The sequence below is a fragment of the Homo sapiens genome, chromosome 8 (genome assembly GCF_000001405.40).
Source record: "Homo sapiens chromosome 8, GRCh38.p14 Primary Assembly".
In the NCBI taxonomy this organism is placed as follows: domain Eukaryota; kingdom Metazoa; phylum Chordata; class Mammalia; order Primates; family Hominidae; genus Homo; species Homo sapiens.
In genome coordinates this window covers 129,757,999-129,784,277 of record NC_000008.11, presented here as the reverse complement: position 1 = coordinate 129,784,277, position 26,279 = coordinate 129,757,999, and the positions used below count along the sequence as shown (strand labels likewise).

General features: G+C 38.0%; 1 protein-coding gene across 13 annotated transcripts in view; it reads left to right on the top strand.

The window, feature by feature from the left end:
* GSDMC (gasdermin C) overlaps positions 1-26,279 on the top strand; it is an 81,190-nt gene that overhangs the window by 2,347 nt on the left and 52,564 nt on the right. For 10 of the 13 annotated variants that reach the window (XR_928340.3, XR_928339.3, XR_928341.3 and 7 more), the window contains exons 2-6: positions 6,687-6,910; positions 7,993-8,176; positions 18,485-18,650; positions 21,547-21,652; positions 23,689-23,733. Coding sequence is in view for 9 of the 13 variants with exons in the window: in XM_011517161.3 (XP_011515463.1) it covers positions 6,691-6,910; positions 7,993-8,176; positions 18,485-18,650; positions 21,547-21,652; positions 23,689-23,733 (721 nt within the window). In the remaining 4 variants the exon portion in view is untranslated. The other 3 variants (XM_011517163.3, XM_017013645.2, XM_011517166.4) reach the window with 3 other exon arrangements.

Here is a 26,279-nt window from a genome sequence, read left to right as displayed (position 1 = left end):
TTGCTGGAGGGAAGCTTTGTAACTTGATGAGATCCAATTTGTCTATTTTTGCTTTGGTTGCCTGTGCTGGTGGTGTATTACTTAAGAAATTTTTGCCTAGACCAATGTCCTGGAGAGTTTCCCCAGTGTTTTCCTGTAGTAGTTTCACAGTTTGAGGCTTTACATTGAAGTCTATAATCTATTTTGATTTTATTTTTGTACATGATGAGAGAGAGTGGTCTAGTTTCAGTCTCCTGCATATGAATATCCAGGTTTCCCAGCACCATTTATTGAAGAGACTGTCCTTTCTCTAATGTATGTTCTTGGCACCTTGGTAAAAAATGAGCTCACTGTAGGTATATGGATTTGTTTCTGGGTTCTCGATTTTTTTCCTTTGGTCTGTGTGTCTGTTTTCATGCCAGTACCATGCTGTTTTGGTTACTGTAGCTCTGTAGTATAATTTGATGTCAGATAATATGATTCCTTGAGTTTTGCTCTTTTTGCTCAGGATAGATTTTGTTATTCTGGGTCTTTTGTGTTTCCATATAAATTTTAGGATTGTTTTTTCTCTTTCTGTGAAGAATGTCATTGATATTTTGATATAATTTGCATAGAATCTGAAGATTGCTTTGGATAGTATGGACATTTTAACAATATTGATTCTTCCAATCTATGAACATGGAATATCTTTCCATTTTTTGTGTCCTCTTCAGTTTCTTTCATCAATGTTTTATAGTTTTCATTGAAGAGATTTTTTACTTCTTCAGTTAAATTAATTCCTAAGAATTTAATTTTATTTGTAGCTCTTGTAAATGGAATTACTTTCTTGATTTCTTTTTCAGATTCTTCTCTGTTGGCATATAGAAGTGCTACTGATTTTTGGATGTTGATTTTGTATCCTGCAACTTTAATAAATTTATAACTTCTAATAGTTTTTTGTTGTTGGAATCTTCAGTTTGTTCCATATATAAGACCACATCATCCACAAACAAGGACAATTTGACTTCTTCCTTTCCAATTTGGATGCCCTTTATGTTTTTCTCTTTTCCCCCATTGAGTGAGTCTGTAATATATGGCTTTTTATTATGTTGAGTTATCTTCCTTCTATACCCAGTTTTTTGAGGGGTTTTATCATCAAGGGATATTGAGTTTTATCAAGTGCTTTTTCAGCATTAATGGAAATGATCACGTGGTTTTTGTCTTTCATTTTCTTGCTATAATGTATCACATTGATTGATTTGTGCGTGTTGTACCATCCTTGCATCCCTGGGATAAATCCCACTTGGTCATGATAAATGATATTTTTAATGTATTGTTGAATTTGGTTTCCTAGTATTTTGTCGAGGATGTTTCCATCAATATTCATCAGAAATATTGGCTTGTAGTTTTTTTTTTTTAAGTTTCTTTGTCTTGTTTTTTATTAGGGTAATATTGGCCTCATAGAATGAGTTTGGAAGTATCCCCTCTTTGTCTATTTTTAAACATAGTTTGAATAGGATTGGTATTAGTTCTTCTTTAAATGTTTGGTAGAATTCAGCATTGAATTCACTGGGTCCCAGGCTTTTATTTACTGGGAGACTTTTTATTACAGCCTTGATCTCATTACTTGTTATTGATCTGTACAGGTTTTGGATTTCTTCAAGGTTCAATCTTGGTAGGTTGTATGTTTCTGGGAATTTATCCATTTCCTCTAGATTTTCCAATTTATTGGTGTATAGTTGCTCATAGTAGCTGCCAATAATCCTTTGAATTCCTGCAATATCAGTTGTAATGTTTTCTTTTTCATCTGTGATTTTATTTATTTGGGCCTTCTCTCTTTTTTCTTAGTCTGGCTAAAGATTTGTCTATTTTGTTTATCTTTTCAACAAAGCAACTTTCATTTCATTCATCTTTTGTATTGTTTTCTTAATTTTAACTTCATTTATTTCTGCTCTGATCATTATTGTTTATTATTTTCTACTAATTTTGGGTTTGGGCTGCTCTTGGTTTTCTAGTTCTTTAAAATGCATCATTAGGTTATTTATTTGAAGTTTTTCTTCTGTTTTGATGTAGACACTTATAGCTATAAATTTCCCTCTTTGTACTGCTTTTGCTGTATCCCATGGGTTTTGGTATGTTTGCATTATCATTTGTGTCAAGAAATGTTTCAATTTCCTCATCAATTTCTTCATTGACCCATTGGTCATTCAGGAGCATATTGTTTAATTTCCATGTGTTTGTATAATTTCTAAAATTGCTCTCGTTATTGATTTATAGTTTTATTCCATTTTGTTCAGAGAAGATACGTTATATTATTTCAACTTTTTGAGTGTTTTAAGACTGGTTCTGTGACCTAAAATATGGTCTACGCTTGAGAATGATCCATGTGATGAGGAGAAAAATGTGTATTCTGCATCCATTGGATAAAATGTTCTGTAAATACCTATTAGGTTCATTTGTTCTATAGTACAGACTGAGTCCAAAGTTTCCTTGTTGATTTTCTGTCTGGGAGATCTGTCCAATGCTGAAAGTGAGATGTTGAAGTCTCTAGCTATTTTTTTTTTTTTTTTGAGATGGAGTCTCGCTCTGTCACCCAGGCTGGAGTGCAGTGGCGCGATCTCCGCTCGGCCCACTGCAAGCTCCACCTCCTGGGTTCACGCCATTCTCCTGCCTCAGCCTCCTGAGTAACTGGGACTACAGGTGCCCACCACCACGCCTGGCTAATTTTTTTGTGTTTTTAATAGAGACAGGGTTTCACCGTGTTAGCCAGGACGGTCTCGATCTCCTGACCTCGTGATCTGCCCGTCTCGGCCTCCAAAAATGCTGGGATTACAGGCGTGAGCCATCGCGTCTCGCCTGAAGTCTCTAGCTATTATTGCATTGGGGTCTATCTCTTTAGCTCTAATCTGAATCTAAATCTATTTTGTCTGATACAAGTATAGCTATTCCTGCTCTTTTTTGGTTTTCATTGACACGAATATATTTTCCATTCCTGTGTTTTTATTCCATGTTTATCTTTATAGGAGAAGTGTGTTTCTTGTAGGTAACAGATCATTGGGTCTTGTTTTTTTAATTAATTCAACCACTCTATGTCTTTAGATTGGACAGTTTAGTTCATTTACATTTAATGTTATTACTAATAAGTGAGTACTTTTGGTATTTTATTTTTTGTTTTCTGGTTGTTTTGTGATCTTCTGTTTCTTCTTTTTCTTCTTCCTTTTAGTGAAGGTAATCTTCACTGATGGTATATTTCAATTTCTTGCTTTTCATTTTTTGCTTATTCATTGTATGTTTTTAGATTTGAAATTACTATGAGGCTTGCAAATGCTATCTTAAAACTCATTATTTTAAATAGATGACAACAGTGATTGCATAAACAAACAAACACAAACAGAAAACTAATAAAAACTCTACATTCTAACTTTGTCTTCTGCTTTTTATCTGTTTGTTGTTTGTCTTTATGTCCTGTGGTACTATGTCTTGAAAGTTGTAGTTGCTTTTGATTGGTTTATCGTTTGGCCTTTCTACTTAAGGTAAGAGTAGTTTACACACCACAATTACAGTGTTATAATATTCTGTGTTTTTCTGTGTGCTTCCTACTACCATTGAGTTTTGTACCTTCAGATGATTTCTTCTTGCTCATTAACATCATTTTCTTTCAGATAGAACAACTCCCTTTAGTATTTCTCGTAAGACAGGTTTGGTGTTGATGAAATCTCTCAGTTTTTGTTTGGGAAGGTCTTTATTTCTCCTTCATCCTTGAAGCATATTTTTTTTGCCAGATATATTATTCTAGGGTAAAAGTTTTTTTCCCTTCAGCACATTAAATATGTCATGCCACTGTCTCTTGGCCTGTAAGGTTTCCAGTGAAAAGTCTGCTACTAGACGTATTGGAATTTTATTGTTTGTTATTTTTTCTTTTCTTTTGCCACTTTAGGATTCTTACTTTATACTTGATATTTGGGAGTTTGATTATCAAATGCCTGAGGTAGTCTTCTTTGGCTTAAATCTGCTGGGTGTTCTATTATCTTCTTGTACCTTGTACTTGAATATTGGTATCTTACTCTAGCTTTGGGAAGTTCTCCCTTTGCATAAACTTTCTACACCTATCTGTTTCTCAATCTTCTCTTTAAGGCCAGTAACTCCTAGATTTGCCCTTTTGAGGCTATTTTCTATTGCCCTTTTGAGGCTATTTTCTACATCTTGTAGCATGCTTCATTCTTTTTTCTTTTGTCTCCTTTGACTGTATATTTTCAAATAGCCTGCTTTCAAGATCACTGATTCTTCCTTCTGTTTGATCAATTCTGTTATTAAGAGATGCTGATGCATTCTTCTGTAGGTCAATGTATTTTTCAACTCCAGAATTTCTGCTTCTTTTTAATTATTTCAATTTCCTTAAAAAATTTATCTGATAGAATTCTGAGTTCCTTTTATGTGTTATCTTGAATTCCTTTGAGTGTCCTCAAAACAGCTATTTTGAATTCTTTGTTTGAATGATTACATATTTCTGTCTCTCTGGGATTGGTCCCTGGTGCCTTACTTAGTCCATTTGGTAAGGTGATGTTTTCCTGAATCGTCTGTTTTTAAATTCAAAATTACATTTTATTACAGAATTTAAAAATAATTTTCCTTATAGGCTTCCTGGACTGGTGACTTACATTTTCTTTCTTTTTTTTAATTATATATATATTTTCTTTTTTATACTTTTATTTTAAGTTCAGGGGTACATGTGTAGGTTTGTTATGTAGGTAAACTTGTGCCATGGGAGTTTGTTGCATAAATTATTTTATCACCCAGTTATTAAGCCTAGTAACCATTCGTTATTTTTCCTGATCATCTCCCTCCTCCCACCCTCCATGCTCTACCTTCCAGTAGGCCCCAGTGTGTGTTGGTCCCCTCCATGAGTCTATGTGTTCTCATCATTTAGCTCCCACTTATAAGTGAAAACATGTGGTATTTGGTTTTCTATTTCTGTGTTAGTTTACTAAGTGTAATGGCTGCCAGCTCCATTGGGAGCTGTTCTTGATCTTGTTCTTTTTTTGGCTACATAGTATTCCATGAGGTATATGTACCGCGTTTTCTTTATCTAGTCCATAGTTGATGGGCATTTAGGTTTATTCCATGTCTTTGCTATTGTGAATAGTGCTGCAATGAACATATGCATGCATGTGTCTTTATTATAAAATGATATCTGTTCCTTTGGGTATATACCCAGTAATGAGCTTGCTGGGTCAGATGGTATTTCTGTCTTTAGGACTTTGAGGAATCACCAAACTGTTTTTCACAGTGGTTGAACTAATTTACATTCCCATCAACAGTGTATAAGCATTCCTTTTTCTCCACAACCTTGCCAGCATCTGTTATTTTTTGACTTTTTAATAATAGCTATTCAGACTTGTGTGAGATGATATCTCATTGTGGTTTTGATTTGTGTTTCTCTAATGATCAGTGGTGTTGAGCTTTTTTTTTTATACGATTGTTGGCCACATGTATGTCTTCTTTTGAAAGCTGCCTCTTCATGTCGTTTGCCCACTTCTTAATGTTTTTTTTTTTTTCTTGTAAATTGGCTCAAGTTCCTTATAGATGCTGGATATTAGACCTTTGTCAGATTCGTAGTTTGCAAAAATTTTCTCCCATTCTGTAGGTTACCTGTTCACTCTGTTCATAGCTTCTTTTGCTGTGCAGAAGCTCTTAAGTTTAATTAGATCTCATTTATCAATTTTTGCTTTTATTGCAATTGCTTTTGGCATCATCATGAAATCTTTGCCAGTTCCTATGTCCAGAATGGTATTGCCTAGATTGTCTTCTAGTGTTTTATTTTTATAGTTTCGGGTTTTACATTTCAGTCTTTTATTCGTCTTGAGTTGATTTTTGAATATGGTGTAAGGAAATGGTCCATTTTCACTCTTCTGCTTATGGCTAGCCAGGTATCCCAGCACCATTTATTGAATGAAGAAGACATATATGCATCCAACACTGCAATCTTGGGCCTTCACCAACTTGCCCTCACTTTCTTCTGACCTCATCTTCTTTCCTTTCCACCTCACATATTCCAGGCATCCATTGCTTCCAAATCTTTGCACTTGCTGATTTCTGTACCTGGAATTCTTTTCTCCACATAATGTTCATTGTTTATGCCCTGCCTCCTCTACATTATTGTTCAAATGTCACTTCTCAGTGTGGCTTTCACTGTAAAACTGCAAACACCAACATGTTCTCTACCACTACTCATATCATCTTAACATAAGCCCCGCCTTCCCTCTGGCCCTTTAGTTGATGACAGTATTGAGCCCTTCCTTCTTCCTGTTATTTACAGTATCCCTGGGTTAGAGGTGAGGAGATACCCAGGCTTTCCTACTCCAACAATAAGGGGCAATGAATTTTACAGCAGTGCCTGTCAGAAGCCCAAATTGTCTTAAGAATTCCAAAGTTGGAAGCCAGGTGTGATGGTGTGTGCCTATAATCCCAGATGCTAGGTAGGCTGAGGCGGAGAATCACTTGAGCCCAAGAGTTCAAGACCAGTCTGGGCAACATGGCAAGACCCTGTCTCAAAAACAACAAAAAAATGAACTCAAAGTTGAGAAAGTTATAATCTAGTCACTATTTTAAGTAAAGACCTGCTAATCTCATATGTAGATCTTTTCCTTTAGGGGAAATATCAATAATTGGTGAGAGTTTAACCATTTTCTTCCTCTCCCAACTGATGCTCTCCTTTCATCTCCTCCTAGCAACATGCCCTCCATGTTGGAACGCATTAGCAAAAATTTGGTCAAAGAGATTGGAAGCAAAGACCTGACACCTGTCAAATACCTATTGAGTGCCACCAAATTACGTCAGTTTGTTATATTACGAAAGAAGAAGGATTCTCGTTCATCATTTTGGGAACAATCTGACTATGTTCCAGTTGAATTCTCCCTCAATGACATCCTGGAGCCAAGTTCTTCAGTCCTAGGTATTGTCAGCCAGAGGCCAAGGAGGTGAGGGGTGAAAAACATGTGTGGTCAGAAAAAGATGGCCCACCATCCAAAGATAACTGAGCACACAGAAAGGAGCTCTCAGGATTAGCCTTGCCTATAGGCAAGGGGCAAGAAACGAAGACAAATTGAGAATCCTACCAATTATCTGGATGTAGGCATTCATTAGGTCATTTAATATTTGTATCAGGCTCATGAGGTGAGGATATTATCCCCATTTTACATAAGAGTAAATAGAAGGTTATAAAATTATCTGTTCAAAGTTATGTACCTGGGGGCTGGGCACTGTGGCTCATGCCTATAATCCCAGTGCTTTGGGAGACCGAGGCGGGCAGATCACTTGAGGCCAGGAGTTCGAGACCAGTCTGGCCAACATGCTGAAACCCTGTCTCTATTAAAAATACAAAAAAAAAAAAATTATCCAGGCATGGGTGGTGCACTCTTGTAGTCCCAGCTACTCGGGAGGCTGAGGCTCAATAATTGCTTGAGCCCAGAAGGCGGAGGTTGCAGTGAGCTGGGATTGCACCAATGCACTCCAGCCTGGATGACAGAGTGAGACTGTCTCAAAACAACAACAACAACAAAAACAACAACAACAACAACAACAGCAAAAACCAAACAAAAAAACAGTTATGTCCCTGGGAACTAGTAGAACTGGGATCCAAACCCAGGTCTGTCTGGCTCCACATCCCAAACATTTTCTGCCCCTGTGTGCTGCCCTCTGCTGCTGGGTGCTGTGCCTGCTGCAGAGGAGACAGTGTGCCTGAAAGGATGATCCCAGGGGTCTTCTGGACACTGTACATTTGACACCACTATTTCTCAGGGTGCAGATTTTATCTCTGTCACACAATGCCCATTTAAATATTTGAATATTTTCCATCTGTAGTAATTTACATTCAAACATTAATGGATTAGTTTTCAACAGAGTTTAAGTGAGTGGGAGGATTGGGGCAAAATAGGTCTTTGTTATTTCATTTTGCACACCAGCTGTTCTTGGCTAAACCTTTGAATTCTTGAATGAATTCTTGGCTAAACCTATGGTCGTCTTTTCTTTCCCCAGAAACTGTTGTGACAGGACCGTTCCACTTCAGTGACATTATGATCCAGAAGCATAAGGCTGACATGGGTGTGAATGTTGGTATAGAAGTGAGTGTGTCAGGGGAGGCCTCTGTGGACCATGGATGCTCCCTCGAGTTTCAAATTGTTACCATCCCATCACCAAACCTGGAAGACTTTCAAAAAAGGTGAGGCCATGGGAGAGGAAGGGGATGGATCATCAGTATCCCAGGGGGTGTTTTCCTTGAACACAAAAATACATCTAGCAAGTCTTGTTGTAGGGATGAAAATCAAGATGATGACAGCCCAGATTTTGCTACTCTTCTTGAGTATTCATACCTCCCTTTACTCAAGTAATAGCTGTTAGTTACCTAACAAATACTTATTAGAGCAGTAACTACCCACTACTATGTTGTTATATGTTGGGGATACAATGAAAACAAGACAGATGTAAACACCTGTCATAAAGCAGCTTACATTTAGTGGAGACAAGGGATGGGCAGGGAGTAAGAAAATAAGCAATAAAAAATAAATTAACAAAGTGTTAATTTAAGTGAGACAAAGACTTTAAAACTGTTTATTTAAATAACATGTACATTGCTGTCTTGGGATTTATTTTTATTTTTTTCAGCTGTATTGAGATATAATTGACAAATAAAATTGTGTGAATTTAAGGTGTACAATGTGATGATTTGATGTATGTATATATTGTGAAAAGACCACAATAAAGTCAGTTAACATATCTATTACTTTACCTAGTTATCATTTTTTTTGTGGTGAGAACGTTTAATATCTACTCTCTTGGCAAATTTCAGATACACAATGTAGTATTGTTAATTATAGTCTGTGTTGCCTTTGACCAATGTGCCCCATTTCCCTGACTTCCTAACCCCTGCTAACCACCATTTTATTTTGTTTCTATAAGTTTGACTTTTTTAGGTTCCACATATATGTGAGATTATACAGTATTTGTATTTCTCTGTTTGACTTTTATTTAGCATAATGCCATCAAGGTTTATCCATGTTGTTGCAAATACAGGGTTTCTTCCTTTTTTATGGCTGAATAATATTCCGTCGTATACACATACCACAATTTCTTTTTCCATTCATCTGTTGACAGGCACTTAGGTTGTTTTGGTGTCTTGGTTTCTGTGAATAATGCTGCAATGAACATGGAAGTGCAGACATGTCTTTGAGCTACTGATTAATTTTCATTGGCTGTATACCTAGAAATGAGATTGCTGGATCATATGGTAGTTCTAGTTTTAGTTTTTTGAAGAACCAACATACTGTTTTCCATATGGCTATATCAATTACATTCCCACTAATAGCATACAAGGATTTCCTTTAATTCACATCTTTGCCAACACTGATCTTTTTGTTAAAAGCCATCCAAACAGATGCGAAATTATGTCTCATTGTGGTTTTGATTTGTACGTCCCTGATAAGTAATTTTGAGCACAATTTCATGTGCCTGTTAGCTTATTTCTATGTCTTTTTTTGGAGAAAATATCTATTTAGGTCCTTTGCCCATTTTCTAAATCAAGATTTTTGTTTTTGTTTTTGATTTTGCAATTTAGCCGTATGAGTTCCTTATATATTTTAGATATTAACCCTTTATCAGGCATATGGTTTTCAAATATTTTTGACCATTCTGTAGGTTGCATTTTCACTCTGTTGATTGTTTCCTTTGCTGTTCAGAAACTTTTTAGTTTGCTAGAGTAACACTTATTTTTTCTTTTCTTTTCTTTTTTTTTTTTTGCTGCTGTTGCTTTTGGTGTCATATCAAACAAATTGTTGCCATAACCAATCTTGAGGAACTTTCCCCCTGTATTTTCTTCTAAAAATGTTTTAAGGTTCCAGGTCTTATATTCAGGTTTCTAATCTACTTTGAGTTGATCTTTGTGTATAAAGTAAGGACCTAGTTTCAGTCTTTTGCATGTGAGTATCCAGTATTCTCAACACCATTTTTTGAAGACACTATCCTTTATCTCACTGTCTTTTCTTGTCACGCTTGTCAGATATTAGTTGATCATACACATATGAGTTTATTTCTTGGCCCTCTACTTGATTCCACTAGTTTATATGTCTGTTTTTATGCAAGTGCCATAAGTTTTAACTTCTATAGCTTTGTAATATACTTTGAAATCAGGAAGTATAGGGTGTCTAGCTTTGTTCTTTCTTGAGATTGCTTTAGCTATTCTGGGTCTTTCCATAAGAGTTTTAAGATTATTTTTTCTATTTCTGTGAAGATTGTCATTGGCATTTTGATAAGAATTGCATTGAATCTGTAAATTGCTTTGAGTAGTATGACATTTTAATAATATTAATTCTTCTTATCCATGAGCACAAATATTTTGCTGTTTATTTTTGTCTTCTTTAATTTCTTTCATGAATTTTGTAGTTTTTCAGTATATAGATCTTTCGCCTCCTTGGTGAAATGTATTCACAAGTATTTTATTATTTTTGATGCTATTATAAACGGACTTTTTTTTTTTTTTTTTGAGACAGAGTCTCACTCTGTCTCCCAGGCTGGAGTACAATGGCGTGATCTCGGCTCACTGCAACCTCTGCCTCCCAGGTTCAAGCAATTCTCCTGCCTCAGCCTCCCAAGTAGCTGGGATTACAGGCACCCACCACAATGCCCAGCTAATGTTTTCTATTTTTAGTAGAGATGGGGTTTTGCCATATTGGCCAGGCTGGTCTCGAACTCCTGACCTCAGGTGATCCACCCGCCTCAGCCTCCCAAAGAGCTGGAATTACAGGTGAGAGCCACCATGCCCGGCCTATACATTGAGTTTTAAAGATAGTTCATTGTTAATTTATAGAAATACAACTGATTTTTAATGTTGATTTTGTATCCAGCAACTTGACTGCATTTATTTATTAATTCTAACATTTTTTAAATGAAGTTTTTAGGATTTTCGATGTATAAGATAGTGTCATCTGTAAACAGGCAATTTTACTTCTTTCTTTCCTATTAGGCTCCTTTTATTAATTTATTTTTCCCTAATTTCACTGGCAAGCATTTCCAGTGCCATACTGAATAGAGTGGTGAGGGTGGACATTCTTGTTTTGTTCCTTATTTTAAAGGAAAAGCTTTCAGCTTTTCAACATTGAGCATAATGTTAGCTGTGGACTTTATTATGACCATGTATAGCCTTCATTATGTTAAGGTACATTTCTTCTATATCTAATTTGCTGAGAGTTTTATCATGAAAGGATGATGAATTTCATCAAATGCTTTTTCTGCATCTACTGAGATGAACATATGGTTTTTGTCCTCGATTATGTTAATATGGTGTATTATATTTATTGATTTGCAAATGTTGAACTATCCTTTCATTCCAGGTATAAATTCCACTTGTTTGTGGTGTATGTTCCTTTTAATGTGCTGTTAAATTTGGTTTGCTAAAATTTTGTTAAGGACTTGTGCATCTATGTTTATCAGATATATTGGCCTGTAATTTTCTTTTCTTGTAATGTCCTTATCTGGCTTTGGTATTAGAGTAATGCTGGCCTTGCACAATGAGTTTGAATTATTCTTTCCTCTTCAATTTTTTGGTTTGAGCAGGATTGATATTAACCTTCTTTAAATGTTTAGCAGAATTCACCAGTGAAAGCATTTGGTCATGGGCATGTTTTTTCGGAGCTTTTTTGATTACTGATTTAATCACCTTACTTGTGAATGATATGTTTATATTTTCTATTTCTTCATGACTCAATCTCAATAGATCATATGTTTCTGGGAATTTATCCATTTCTCTTATCTACCCCAGTTTGTCGGTATTTAATTACAGATAATAGGCTCTCATGATCTTTTTTATTTCTGTGGCATCATTTGTAATGTCTCCTTTTAACTATAATTTTATTTGTTGGAGTTCTTCTTTCTTGGTTTGTCTAGCTAAGGGTTTGTCAATTTTTAATTTTTTTCAAAAAACCCCTCAGTTTTATTACCTTTTCTTTTCTATTGTTTTTCTATTTTCCATTTAATTTATTCTGCTCTAATCTTTTTTTTTTTTTTTTTTTGAGACGGAGTCTCGCTCTGTCGCCCAGGCTGGAGTGCAGTGGCGCGATCTCCGCTCACTGCATGCTCCGCCTCCCGGGTTCATGCCATTCTCCTGCCTAAGCCTCCCGAGCAGCTGGGACTACAGGCGCCTGCCACCATGCCCGAATTTTTTGTATTTTTAGTAGAGACGGAGTTTCACCGTGTTAGCCAGGATGGTCTCGATCTCCTGACCTCATGATCTGCCCGCCTTGGCCTCCTAAAGTGCTGGGATTACAGGTGTGAGCCACTGCGCCTGGCCTGTTCTTCTTTTCTAGTTCTTTAAGGTATAAAGTTAGGTTGTTGATTTGAATTCTTTCTATTTTCTTAATGTAGGTGTTTATAAACTTTCCTCTTAGAACTGCTTTTGTTGTATCCCATAAGTTTTGGTATGTTGTGTTTTCACTTTTGTTTGTCTCAGATATTTTTTGAATTCCCTTTTGATTTCTTCTTTGACCCACTGGTTGTTCAGTTTAGTTTCCACATATTTGTGAATTTTCTGAAATTCCTTGTTATGATTTCTAGTTTTGTGCCATTGTTATTGGAAAAGATACTTGAAATAATTTCTGTCTTCTTAAATTAGAACTGCTTTTGTTGTATCCCATAAGTTTTGATATGTTGTGTTTTCATTTTTGTTTGTCTCAGATATTTTTTGAATTCCCTTTTGATTTCTTCTTTGACCCACTGGTTGTTCAATTTAATTTCCACATATTTGTGAATTTTCTGAAATTCCTTGTTATTGTTTCTAGTTTTGTGCCATTGTTATTGGAAAAGATACTTGAAATAATTTCTGTCTTCTTAAATTTGTTAAGACTTGTTTTGTGGCCTAACATATGATCTATTTTGGAGAATGTTCCATGTGCTCTGGAGAAGAATTTGTATTCCGCTGCTGTTAGATGGAATGTTCTGTATATGTCTGTTAGGTTCATTTGGTTTATAATGTTTTTCAAGTCTTATATTTCTGCATTGATTTTTTTTTTCTGGGGGACGTGGCCATTAGTAAGAGTGGGTATTAAAGTCTCTTACTAATATTGTATTGCTGTTTATTTCTCCTTTCAGTTACGTTAATATTTGATTTATATATTTATGTGCTCTGATGTTTGGTGCATATTTATAGTAGTATCATTATATAATGGCATTCTTCTATCTTGTTACAGTTTTGACTTAAGTCCATTTTATCTGACATATATGTATATATATAAATATATACATATACATATATATATAAAAAAATGTGTCTGCGTGTGTGTCTGTGTAAGTATGGCCACCCTTGTTCTTTTTTGGTCATCTTGTGCATTAGAATTTCTTTTTCCATCTCTTTCCTTTCAGCCTGTGTGTCCTTAAAGCTAACATGAATCTCTTTTAGGCAGCAGGTCATTGGATCTTGCTTTCTTATATATATTATCCACTCTGTCTTTAGTTTGGAAAATTTAATCTGTTTACATTTAATATAATTATTGATAGGTAAGTACTTGCTATTGTCATTTTAATTGTTTTATGACTTTTATAGTTTTTTTCTTTCCTTCTTTCTCACCTGCCATCTTCCTTTGTGATTTGATTACTTTTTGTGGTAGTATGATTGATTCCTTTCTCTTAATCTTTTGCATATCTAATACAGGTTTTTCCTTTGTAGTTACAATGAGGCTTACATAAAATATCTTATAGTTATAATATCCTATTTTATGCTGATAACAACTTAATTTTGGGGGGATTAATTTTTTTGAGGGTTTCAACCTATTTGGGACATTTTTGAGACAGTCTTACTCTGTTGCCTAGGCTGGAGTGCAGTGGTACAGTCTCAGCTAACTGCAACCTCTGCCTCCTAGGTTTAAGCAATTCTCATGCCTCAGCCTCCCAAGTACATGGGACTATAGGTGTGTGCCACCACAACTGGTAAATTTTTTGTATTTTTAGTAGAGACAGGGTTTTGCCATATTAGTCAGGCTGGTCTTGAACTCCTGGCCTCAAGTAGTCTGCCTGCCTTGGACTCCCAAAGTGCTGAGATTATAGGCATGAGTCTATAATATGAGGCATGAGCCTGGCCTTCAGCTTAATTTTGATTGCATAAAAAGCATTATAGCTTTACTTCTTCCCCTCATTGATATTTTAGGTTATTGATATTAAGATTCACATATTTTTATATTGTATATCTAATAAGAAATTATTATAGAGTTATTTTTAATATACGTAAAACATTTTTATACCAGAGTTGAAAATCATTTATATACCACATTTAGAATATTACAGAATTCTGACTCTGATTATATATTTTCCTTTACTGATGAATTTTACACATTCATGTGTTTTACGTTGTTAATTAACATATTTTCATTTCAACTTGAAGAACTCCCTTTTGCATTTCTTGTAAGGCAGATCTAGTGGTGAACTTCCTCAGCTTTTGTTTGGGAAAGTCTTTATCTCTCTTTTATCTCTGAAGGACAACTGAGTTTTTTATTCTTGTTTGGCAGTTTCTGTGGTTTGAATGTCCCCTCCAAAACTCCTAATGAAATTTAGTTGCCATTGTAACAGTATTAAGAGGTGGGGCTTTTAAGAGGTGATTGGGCCATAAGTGCTCTGCCCTCATGAATGGATTAATATCATTATCGTGGGAGTTGGGTAGTTTTTGTGGGAGTGGGCTCTTGACAAAAGGGTGAAGTTCAGCCCTTGTATTCTCTTTGTCTCATGTGTTTGCTTCTGCTTTTCACCATCTTCCATGAGATGACATTCACCAAATACTGGTGCCATGCTCTGAGGACTTCCCAGCCTCCAAAATCATGAGCCAAATAAACTTCAGTTATATATAATTTAGCCAGTCTGTCATATTCTCTTATAGCAACAGAAAACAGACTAAGACAGTTTTTTTCTTTCAGTATCTTGAATATATCATCCTTTCTTAGCCAGATTTCTCCTAAGCAATTTGCGATTGTCTCTTAGATACTCCCCTGTATGTAATGAGTAGCTTTTCTCTTGTTACTCTCAATATTTTCTCTTTATCTTTGACTTTTGATAATTTAATTATAACGTGTCTTGGTGTAGACCCTTTTGGGTTCGACCTATTTGGGAAATTTTTAGTGTCACAAATTTTGATGCCCACTTCTCTCTCAAAATTTGGGAGTTTCCATTTTTTCCTCTCCTCTCCTCTCCTCTCCTCTCCTCTCCTTTCCTTTGTGACAGGGTCTTGCCCTGTCACTCAGGCTGGAGTGCAGTGGCAAGATCCTGGCTCACTGCAGCCTCTACCTCCTGGGCTGAAGTGATCCTCCCACCTCAGCTTCCTGAGTAGCTAGGACTACAGGTGTGTGCCACCAACCTGCTTAAATTTTTATTTTTTGGAGAGATGTGGTCTCAATATTATTCTCAGACTGGTTTTGAACTCCTGGACACAAGTGATCCTCCAACCTTGGTCTCCCAAAGTGCTGGGATTATAGGTATGAGCCACTGGCCCTGGCTGTCATTATTTCTACAAATAAGCTTTTTATCTCTTTCTCACTCTCTTATGTTTCTGGAGAATATTTTTTTGTTTCACTTGATGGTGTCCCATAAGTGCCATATATCTCTTTTCACTCTGCATTCTGTTTTCTTTTTATCCCTTTGACTGGTTAATTTCAAATTGTCTTTGAGTCCACTAATTCTTCCTTTTGCTTGATTGAATCTGCTGTTGAAACTTTCCTAAACTTTTTTCAGTTTAGTTACTGTATTCTTTATCTGCAGGATTTTTAAAAAATGGTTTCTATTTCTTTGTGGAACTAATTTTGTGTATCGTTTTCTTAATTTTGTTTAGTTGTCTATCTGTATTTTCTTGTAGTTCATTGAACTTCTGAATTCTTTGTCAGTTTGTTTATAGATCTCCCATTTCTTTAGAGTCAGTCATTGGAGCTTTATTAGTTTCCTTTGTTGGTATAACATTTTCCTAATACCTCATAATCCTTGTATCTTGCATTTCTTTTTGTGCTTTTGAGGCAGCAGCCACCTCTTCTAGCCTTAACAGGTTCATATCAGTAGAGATAGACCTTCACCAGTCAGTCCAACCTTTGGTTCTAGATGGATTGGCTGTTAGTGTTCATGAATAAGTGTGGCTTGCTGCTCACACTCTCTAGTTGATGCGGCCACTGCCCGTACTCTGAGGTGGAACTGCTGGCTGTGCTCCATGGTCGGGCTGGATCACTGGCTGGGTTCTATGATCAGGATGAGCTGTTGGCTGGGCTCTGCATTCAGGCGGGGCTACTGGCTGGGCTCCTTCATAGGGTGGGGATTTTGACTGGCTTTGTGGTCAAGTAGGACCACTGGCTGGACCCCACAATCACCTCTTGTCAGATGTTGTTGCAGCCTGTGCTCCTTGTGGTACTGTTGTTCAGGGTATATAATTGGGCAGGGCTTTAGGCTGGGCTCTGAAATTTTCCCTGGTTGGGTAGGGGCCCATGAAGTGCTCCCTGACTGGGTGTGATGCTGGCTGAATGCCATATTCAGATGGAGCCACTGACTAGGTTTTGTAATTGGTGGTGGTCTCAGGCTGTGCTTTGTAGTTGGGCAGGCCACAGGCTGGGCTCCGTGTTTGGGTAGGGACACAGGCTGAACTGTGTGTTTGTGCTGGGTCACTGGCTGGGAACTTGATCCAGGTAGGGCTACTCAGTTTGCTCCATGGTCAGTCAGGGTCACCATGAACTCCCAGATTGGCTGGGTTTGTAGCCTGTGTCCCACAGAGCCCACATGTGTAGCTCTGTGTGGTTGCAGGCAGAGCTTCAAGGCTGTGTTGGGTTCTTGATCAGGCTCCTTCATGAGGCAGGGTAACAGGTTATGCTCCACAGTTAGGCAGAGTCACCAGCTTTACTTTCTGCTTGAGTGGGGCCTGGGACTGGGCTCTGAATTTGGAAAGGGTCACTGTTTGGACTTCCTGGTCAGGCCAGGCCAGAGGCTGTGCTCTGCAGTTAGGTGTGGTTGCTGGCTGGCCTCCCTATTTGGGCAAAGTCTTAGGCTTGGCCCTGAGGCTGGGCAGAGTTGTTGTGGAGGATCCTTGGTCAGTTGGGGCCAGAGGCTGTGCTCCACAGTTAGGCAGGGTTGCTGGCTGGCTTTCCTGTCTCACAAGGAACTTAGGTTGGGCTCTGAGGCTGACCTCCACAGGGAGGCTATACCACTGGTTAAGGATGCAAGCCAGACAGAAACTGCCTACCATACTTCCTGGCCAGACAAATTTGTTGGCTTGGGTCTGCAGGCAGGCAAGTTGCTGGCTGGTCTCTCTGATTGGGTGCCACTGCTAGTAGGAATGTAGTGTCACTGCCAAGATCCATGCAGTGATTGCTGAAGCCTTGACCACTTCTTTGCTTCTAGGTGACCGCAGGTGGTCTAGTCCTGCCGATGCCCTCAATGTTCTCTGTGACATGGGACAGAGCTGGACCTCCTAGGATGCGCTTTGGAACGCTGTTTGAAGCTGGATATCTACTTTGGCTCTCTTTTTCCCGTTGAAGAGCTCATTGGCCCAGGGGAACTCCATTCATGTTGCGGTGGCGCCTGGGGGAGGGGTGATGCTGCCAAAGTAAAACTCTTACTCTTACCCTTCTAATGAAGGGTGAAACACCGAGCTTGGTGTTTTCAGGATAAGGGGCAAGGTCAGTGAGTTGGAAGCTTAGACAACCAAGATAAAGGAGATAAAACATGATGCTTGGAAGATAAGTAGATGTCACATAACATAGCATCTAAGGACATGGTAAGAAGACAGCAATGACAAAACCTAATATTGTGTGCGCAGTAACCTTCTCTACTGAAAAGCCAATTAAGAATCCCTCAATATTCCACATGACTGTTATCTAGGACACTGACTCCATGGGTGCCTTGAGTAGAATCAAGGTTGAACTTCAGAAAGAACTGAAATAGAAATGAAATCTACCTTCAGTACTTCAAACCATTCATATATCCCTGGAAACTACATCATCAAGTCAGCCCTACCAATCCACCCACCAAGGACAGTAAATCCGTAACGGTCATGAAATCATGCAGAGTCTTCTCGCTTCATTCCACTTTATCTGTCTGCTCCCCAGCCCACCCTGATTGTGCTAATTGACACGTTCGGTGTGAATACCCAGCTTTGACAACAGGACCTCCTAAAGACTGTTCTCAATCATCTGGACCTGTCTGCTTCTAGCCCTTTTTTTTCTGAGAGACCCTAGTGCTAAAATTCTATAAGTTACCCCTTAACAGGACCAGTATAATTTAGTAAAATGCAGATGCCTTTAACAATATGGTACATATACTCTCACACCCGAACCACCATCATTGGGATCTCCTCTATCCTGTATGTCAGATAAAACATTCTGCTGCCCTACCACCCATTGGTGACTTACCTGTCAGGGTCCAAAGCCATTGCACCCCTCCCAGGTCTTGGGGAGAAGGGCACCCAGAGTAACCTGAAAAGCCATCACTTTCCCACTCTGACTCTTGTCCTCCTTCCTTAAATCCCCAGGAAACTGTTGGATCCAGAGCCATCATTTCTGAAGGAGTGCCGGAGGAGAGGGGACAACCTGTACGTGGTGACAGAGGCTGTTGAACTGATCAACAATACTGTGCTGTACGATAGCAGTAGTGTGAATATTTTAGGGAAAATTGCTCTTTGGATTACCTATGGCAAGGTATAAAGTTGTCCTGAAGTGGGATTGAAATTCAAAAAAATACAGCCAGTCCTGGCAGCCAAGCTTCATTTCCTAGGGGGCTCTGGACTCTATTTCCAGGGATTACAAGGGATGGAGTCATTATTTCCCCCTTCTTACATGTTGATGTATCCTGACTTCTGATCTGAGAGTATATTCTAATATCCTCCGTTACAGTGTTTTACTATACGGGGTCATACAGTATTGACAAAATCAGAAATATATTTAATTATTTAGTATTGTGTTTTGCTTTGGGTAAATGATAAATTCTGCAGAATTCAAATGAGTGGCCACTGTGTTATATACAGTCTAGTTTTATGGCTGGAAGAAATGAGGGACCACTAATACCAAACCCCGGTTGTTAAAGTACTTTAAACTCTAAGGTAACCTGATAAGAAATATTTCAAGGAGTGAGATCAGAGTATCTTCAAGCACATGTGACTGACATGAGTCATTCACAATAACCAAGTATAATATTTTTTAATATAAATAAATTCATTTATCAACTATTCAGATTAAGTATGGGTCAAGGGCTTATAAAGTTTATATGTGTTATAATGTGCTTTTACAATATGTCTGTGTAATTTGTCTTTACTTAAGAGCTTTAAAAACTAAAGAAGAAACCCGATATGTGTACTAAGTTTCCCAATGCCAATGAGTTACTGCTAAAAAGTGGACAAATGGTAACAGACCCTGGAAAGCAGGAATAGTGGACCCCCACCTGCAGCAGGGAAGAAAGTCTAGAAACAAGAACCCCCAAAAGGTTCAGGAATCGGAGGCACTAGCTACCTCTGAAGATAGGTGGGACTGCAAGTAAGAATATCGACTGGAAATCTTTTTAATTTTTTAAAAAATGTGTGTGGGAATATGGTAGATGTATACATTCATGGGGTACATGAGATATTTTGATACAGCCATACGATGTGTAATAATCACTTCAGAGAATTTTTATAAGGAACACTCAGAGCCCAAATCCCTTCCCACCTCTGCATAGCCAGGCACCTACCCTCACCCACTCTGGCAGAAGACCTTCTGGAAAACTTATTCCCTGTGGGTTCTAGATTTAGGAAGACTAGTTACAGTGAAGGGTGGGAGTGAGAAGCCATAATGGAAAAGGAAAATAAGTGCAAGTCCTCATTGAGAGTGGGGACATTGAGCCCCTTTCCCCATTCAGCTCCAGGCATCACATCTCTACCCTTTCTACCCCTACAACACACAGCCTAGGCGGGAGATTGAAGAATTATTTCCTAAGAAAATTAACCAGTACAAAAGAAATAACTAAAAAAACCCCAACCACTGGAGACCCCAAAGAGATAGTTTAATCCCTGCCTGGTTGCCCCAAAGTGAAACATCTACTCAACATGCCCTGCCTATGCACATTTAACAGCTTTCATGCTTCACTCGTTAACAAAACAGAAAAAAAAAATCACAGACACTTGAGGAAAGCCTAAAACCCAAAACAAAAACACTTTGAAGTTAGGAAATTAGAGGAAACAAAAACAACATAGGAAGGTAAGAAATACTTGATCCTCTTTAAGAGATAATATTTTATTTTCATGGAAGAATAATGCTTTGCAAAAAGGATATTTATAGCTCTTAGAAATTAAAAATAGAGTAGTAGAAATTTATTATTCTTTTTCTTAAATAGAAGGGTCAAAAAGCAAAATCGAAGAAATTTCCAGGAAAAAGTAAGCAAAAAGACAGGAGAATATTCATTAAAAAAATTTGGAGGCTAGGCACAGTGGCTCATGCCTGTAATCCTAGCACTTTGGGAGGCTCTTGCAGGTGGATTGCTTGAGCTCAGGAGTTCAACACCAGCCTGGGCAACATAGTGAGACCTTGTCTCTACAAAATATAAACAAAAAATTAGCCAGGTGCGGTGGTGCATACCTGTAGTTCCAGCTACTTGGGAGGCTGAGGTGGGAGAATTGCTTGAGCCTGGGAAGTTGTGGCTGTTGTGAGCCATGATTGTGCCACTGCATTCCAGCCTGGGTGACAGAATGAGACACTGTCTCAATTAAAACAACAAAACTTGAGGATCAGTCGAGGAGATTTAACTACTCCTGAATAATACGAGTTCCAGAAGGGGAGAACAAAGACATAATGCAATGTGGAAAATCTTTCAGGAGGAAATACAAGGAAGGTTCTGAGACCCAAAGAATGTGTTTCCAGAATGAAAGTGTCCACTGAAGGCATGGTTTCTTGAGTCAACATAGATCCACCCCATAAAACATAACTGTGAATTTTCAGAACACTTACCTCAAAAAGACAACCATAAATATTTCTAAAAGGGAAATAAAGTCATATTCCAGAGAATTCCAGCCAAGAATTCTATGGCCAGTCAAAATATCAATCAAGTGTGAGAGGTACAATAAAAATGTCTTTAGATGTACAAGGTCTCAAAAAAATGTGTCCCCCATCTCCTCTGGAGAGAATGAGTAAAGAGACAGACAAGGCAAAGGGACATCACATTAACTGATAAAGGAAAGATCGGGAGTGGGGAAAAGCAGTTTTCCCCAAGTATAAACAGTGAATATTAACTTGAACATGGGGATGTTAATATTTTAGGAAGATGGGAGAAGGGAAATAAGGAATGATGAAAGAGAAGGAAAACGAATTCAACATAATCAAAAAGAGAGAATAAATAGTTAAATCTGGAAAGAAATAAAAACATTGCAATATCAACATGAAATTGAAAAATGGGAAGATGAGCACAGGATGAAATAAGGAAGAAAGAGCAGTGATTGGAAATCAGAAGTCAGCAGTAGGGAGGATGAGAGCAGGGAATGCTGATGTTTTTCCTAATGAGCTTTCTAGAGCCATCTGACCTTTAAAATTACATACATTTAATACTGTATTGTCTGGTTTCTCTCCCCAGGGTCAAGGCCAAGGAGAGAGTCTCAGAGTGAAGAAGAAGGCGCTGACTCTTCAGAAAGGCATGGTGATGGCTTATAAGAGAAAGCAGCTGGTTATCAAGGAGAAAGGTGGGAGCAGCGGAGCTCAGCAAGGCAGATGGCAGTGGAGGGGGTGTCTGCTTCTCCTATGAGAGAAATGAGAGGAAAATAACCATAGTATGCAACCTTTGATGCTCTGCCTATCCAAGGAGAAGCATGCACATTTCTTACTGTCCAGGGCACACACCCATCTCACCACACAGAGGCACCTCCAAGCATGGCCTGGGTGAAATGCTGCTATTGACAGATACAGACAGTCTGGTACATGGAAAATAATCCAACTTGTTCATCTTGGAGTGTTGTTAGCTCTGGGCAAATTCCAACCCTAATCCTGACCATCCTTATTCATTTAAGTACCCTCAGCAACTCATCAGCCACAGAGGCTTACCCAAGGTTACCCATAACCCCACATTAAGGTCCTATGAGGTAACAACATCACAATCACAAACAAAACTGCAGACACGATGTCCTAAGAACATAAGTCAGAATTTTATCTACATCTTTCCCTCCTTCATCAGCCTCAAAATGCACAGTTCCTGACCACACACACTTTGGGTTTAGACTCCATGTGGGCAGAAGCATCTGTGTCAGTTGCATACCTAGGTGTGACAGTGAGTGCTGGGAACACAACTGGCTCTCAGAGTCCTTGTTTTCTCCCTTCCCAAATGCTGAGTCCCAGCTAGAGCTCATTTTAATACAGATCGAGTTCAGCTCCTCCTTCTCCCACACTCACTCTCACACTCTACTGCCTATAGTATCCTCACTGCAACATGGTCACGGGAGTGTCCTGATGTCAGTTACCTCCCATCAGTGGCCATAGACAGAATGAGGCTGAACTGTCTCCAGTCTTTCAGTTAGAGGACTCTGGCTTCTGGAAAGACTGACCATATCCAAAGCAGCTCTCTAATGAGGAGAAGGGGTGAGAATGGGATTCCCACTCTCAGGAGAGGTCAGAGAGTCCTGCTGAGGGCAACAGGAGATGGTGGCACTATCAAAGGTCATGGTGAATGATAAGATGATTTTAACATAGAAGGAAAAGAAAAGGAGCTCTAGTTTCAAAATATCATCATCATCAACAACAAACAGAAAATGATGTGGTCAGATAAAAGAAGACCCTACAGAACATGATGTGGTAGTATCCAGATAGAATCAGGTCAATATTCGTTGGTGACTGAAGCCAGGTGGATTCTTTGGAGAATAAACTACAGTGGTTGAAGTGTGAATGCAAAGAGGGGAAGTGAGGACCCAGTGTGTAGCTGATTCTTGAAGGAAGTTGGCTGTGAGGGGACAACAGGTGGGAGGAGGTGATAACTAAAGGAGGACACTTAGCTTTGGGAAGGGGGTTTATGAGATGGTGAAGACTTGAGCCCGTTGTCAAGCTAGGGGAAAGATCCTGATGAACTGGAGAGGGTGAAGATGAATTGGTGTCAGTTACATTGCTGGGCATGTATCTCCACTCCTTGCATCAGCTAGGGAGAGAAGATCTCATCTCCATTTTACAGTGAGGCGTCTGACATAGAGGAGCGCCACTCTCCCCGCTAGTAGTCAGAACATGACTTGCAGTCACTGCTGTGAGGCTAGCTTTTCCTCTAACTTCATTCAGTTCACACTTTTCAACCCTTATACAACTTTTTGTCTTCTTCATAGGCTCTTTCCCCTGTTGAACACTTGCACTCTAGTGTTAGGTGAATTTCAGACCTCAGCATATTTCTCTACACAGAATGTGAAATCATCCAAGAAGATGCCAAATTGAGAGTGGTAAGTAAGGCAGATCAGTAAGAAAAGGGCAGCAAGAGGCAATTCTACCTAGTGAAGGTCAAAGGGAGCTGAGTTCCTTTACTCTATCAAGGTAATTTCCAAAAGTTGGATGGCAAAGTGATTACCTAAATTGCTTATTTAAATGCAGGTTCCAGGGCACCTTTCAAAGTGATTCAGAAGGCACAGAGTGAGGCCAGTGGTCAGATTTAACAGGCATCCCAGTGGTTTTGATATAAGGAGTTCCCTGGTCTAGGTTCAGGCAGGAATAACCTCAACTCTCCTAATGGAAGTTCTTCTTTTCCATTCAGCCATTCTCATCTCAGATGATGATGAACAGAGAACCTTTCAAGATGGTGAGTTCCAAAGCCTGGTCTTTTTATTTTTTTATTTTTATGAGTACATGGGAGGTATGTATATTTATAAGGTACATGAGATGTTTTGATACAGGCATGCAATGTGTAATAATCACATAATGGAAAATGGAGTATTCATCTTCTCAAACATTTATCCTTCATGTTCTAAGCAATCCAGTTATACTCTTTTAGTTTTTAAAAAATGTACAATTAAATTATTTTGACTGTAGTCACCCTGTTGTGCTATCAAATGCTAGGTATTATTCATTCTTTCTAGCTTTTTAAAATGTGCCCATTAACCATCCCTACCTCTCCTCCAGACCCCCCACCACCCTTCCCAGTCTCAGGTAGCATACTTATATCTGTATGTGTTCAACTGTTTTGATTTTTACATCCCACAAGTAAGTGAAAACATAAAATGTTTGTGTTTCTATTCCTGACTTATTTCACTTAACATAATGAACTCCAGTTTCATTAATGTTTTTGCAAATAATAGGATCTCATTCATTTTTTTAACGGGTGAATAGTATACCATTTTGTATATGTTTGATATTTTCTTTATACATTCATCTGTTGATGGACATTTAGTTTGCTTCCAAATCTTGACTATTGTGAACAGTGTTGCAATGTTTGTTCTTAAATCTCTCTTTGGTATACTGATTGCCTGCCTTTTGGTGTATATACCCAGCAGTGAGATTGCTGGATCATATGGTAACTCTAGTTTTCGTTTTTTGAGGAAGGTCCAAACTGTTCTCCAGAGTGATTGTACTAATTTACATTCCCATCAACGGCATATGAGAGTCTCCTTTTCTCTGCATCCTCCCCAGCATGTGTTATTGCCTGTCTTGGATATAAGCCATTTTAACAGGGGTGAGATAATATCTCATTGTAGTTTTGATTTGCATTTCTCAGAAGATCAGTGATGTTGAGCACATTTTCATATGTCTGTTTGCTATTCGTATGTCTTCTTTTGAGAAATGTCTACTCACATCTTTTGCCCATTTTCAATCAGATTATTAGATTTATTTCTATATAGTCATTTGAGCTTCTTAAATATTCTGGTTATTAATCCCTTCTCAGATGGGTAGTTTGCAAATATTTTCTCAGATTCTGTGGGTTGTGTCTTCACTTTGTTGATTGTTTCCTTTCCTGTGAAGAAGCTTTTTAACTTGATGCGATCCCATTTGTCTATTTTTGCTTTAGTTGCCAGTGCTTGTGGAGTATTTACTGAAGAAATCTTTGCCCAGACCATTGTCCTGAAGAGTTTTCTTAATGTTTTATTTTAGTAGTTTCATAGTTTGAGGCCTTAGATTTAAGTCTTTAAATGATTTTGATTTGATTTTTGTATATGGTAAGAGATAGGGGTCTAGTTTTATTCTCCTGGATACGGATATCCAGTTTTCCCAGCACCATTTATTGAAGAGACTGTCCTTTCTCCATTGTATGTGCTTGGCAACTTTGTCAAAGATGGTTCACTGTAGGTACATAGATTTGTTTCTAGGTTCTCTATTTTGTTCCTTTGGTTATGGGTCTGTTTTTATGGCAGTATCATGTTGTTTTGGTTACTATAGCTCTGCAGTTTAATTTGGAGTCAGGTAATGTGATTCTTCTGGTTTTGTTCTTTTTGCTGAGGATAGCTTTGGTTATTCTGGGTCTTTTGTGCTTCCATATGAATTTTAGAATTTTTTTTTCTTACTGTGAAGAATGTCATTGGTGTTTTGATAGGGATTGCATTGAATCTGTAGATTGCTTTGGGGAGTATAGACATTTTAACAATTTTAATTATTCCCATCCATGAACATGGAATATCTTTTCACTTTTTTGGTGTCTTCTTCAATTTCTTTCATCAATGTTTTATAGTTTTTATTGTAGAGAACTTTCACTTCTTTGGTTAAGTTAATTCCTAGATGTTTTATTTTATCCCTATTGTCAATGCGATTAATTTTTAAATTTCTATTTTAGAGTGTTCACTGTTGGCATATAGAAATGCCACTGATTTTTGTATGTTGAATTTATATTCCTCAACTTTACTGAATTTGTTTATCAGTTCTAATAGTTTTTTTAGTGGAGCCTATAGGTTTTTCCAAATATAAGATCATATCATCTGCGAAAAAGGATGATTTGACTTCTTCCTTTCCAATCTGGATGCCCTTTAGTTCTTTCTCTTGTCTGATTGCTCTAGCTAAGACTTCCAGCACTATGCTAAACAGCAATAATGAATGTGGACCTCTTTGTCATGTTCCAGATCTAAGATGAAAGGCTTTCAATTTTTCCCCACTCAGTATGAAACTAGCTGTGGCTCTGTCATATATGGCTTTTATCATGTTGAGGTATCTTTCTTCTATACCTGGTTTTTAAAGGGTTTTTATCATGAAGGAATATTTAACTTTATGAAATACCTTTTTAGCATCAATTGAAATGATCATACGGTTTTTGTCCTTCATTCTGTTGATATAATGTATCACATTGATTGATTTGTGTATGTTGAACTATCTTTGCATCCCTGGGATAAATCTTACTTGCTCATAATGAATTCTTTTCTTTTC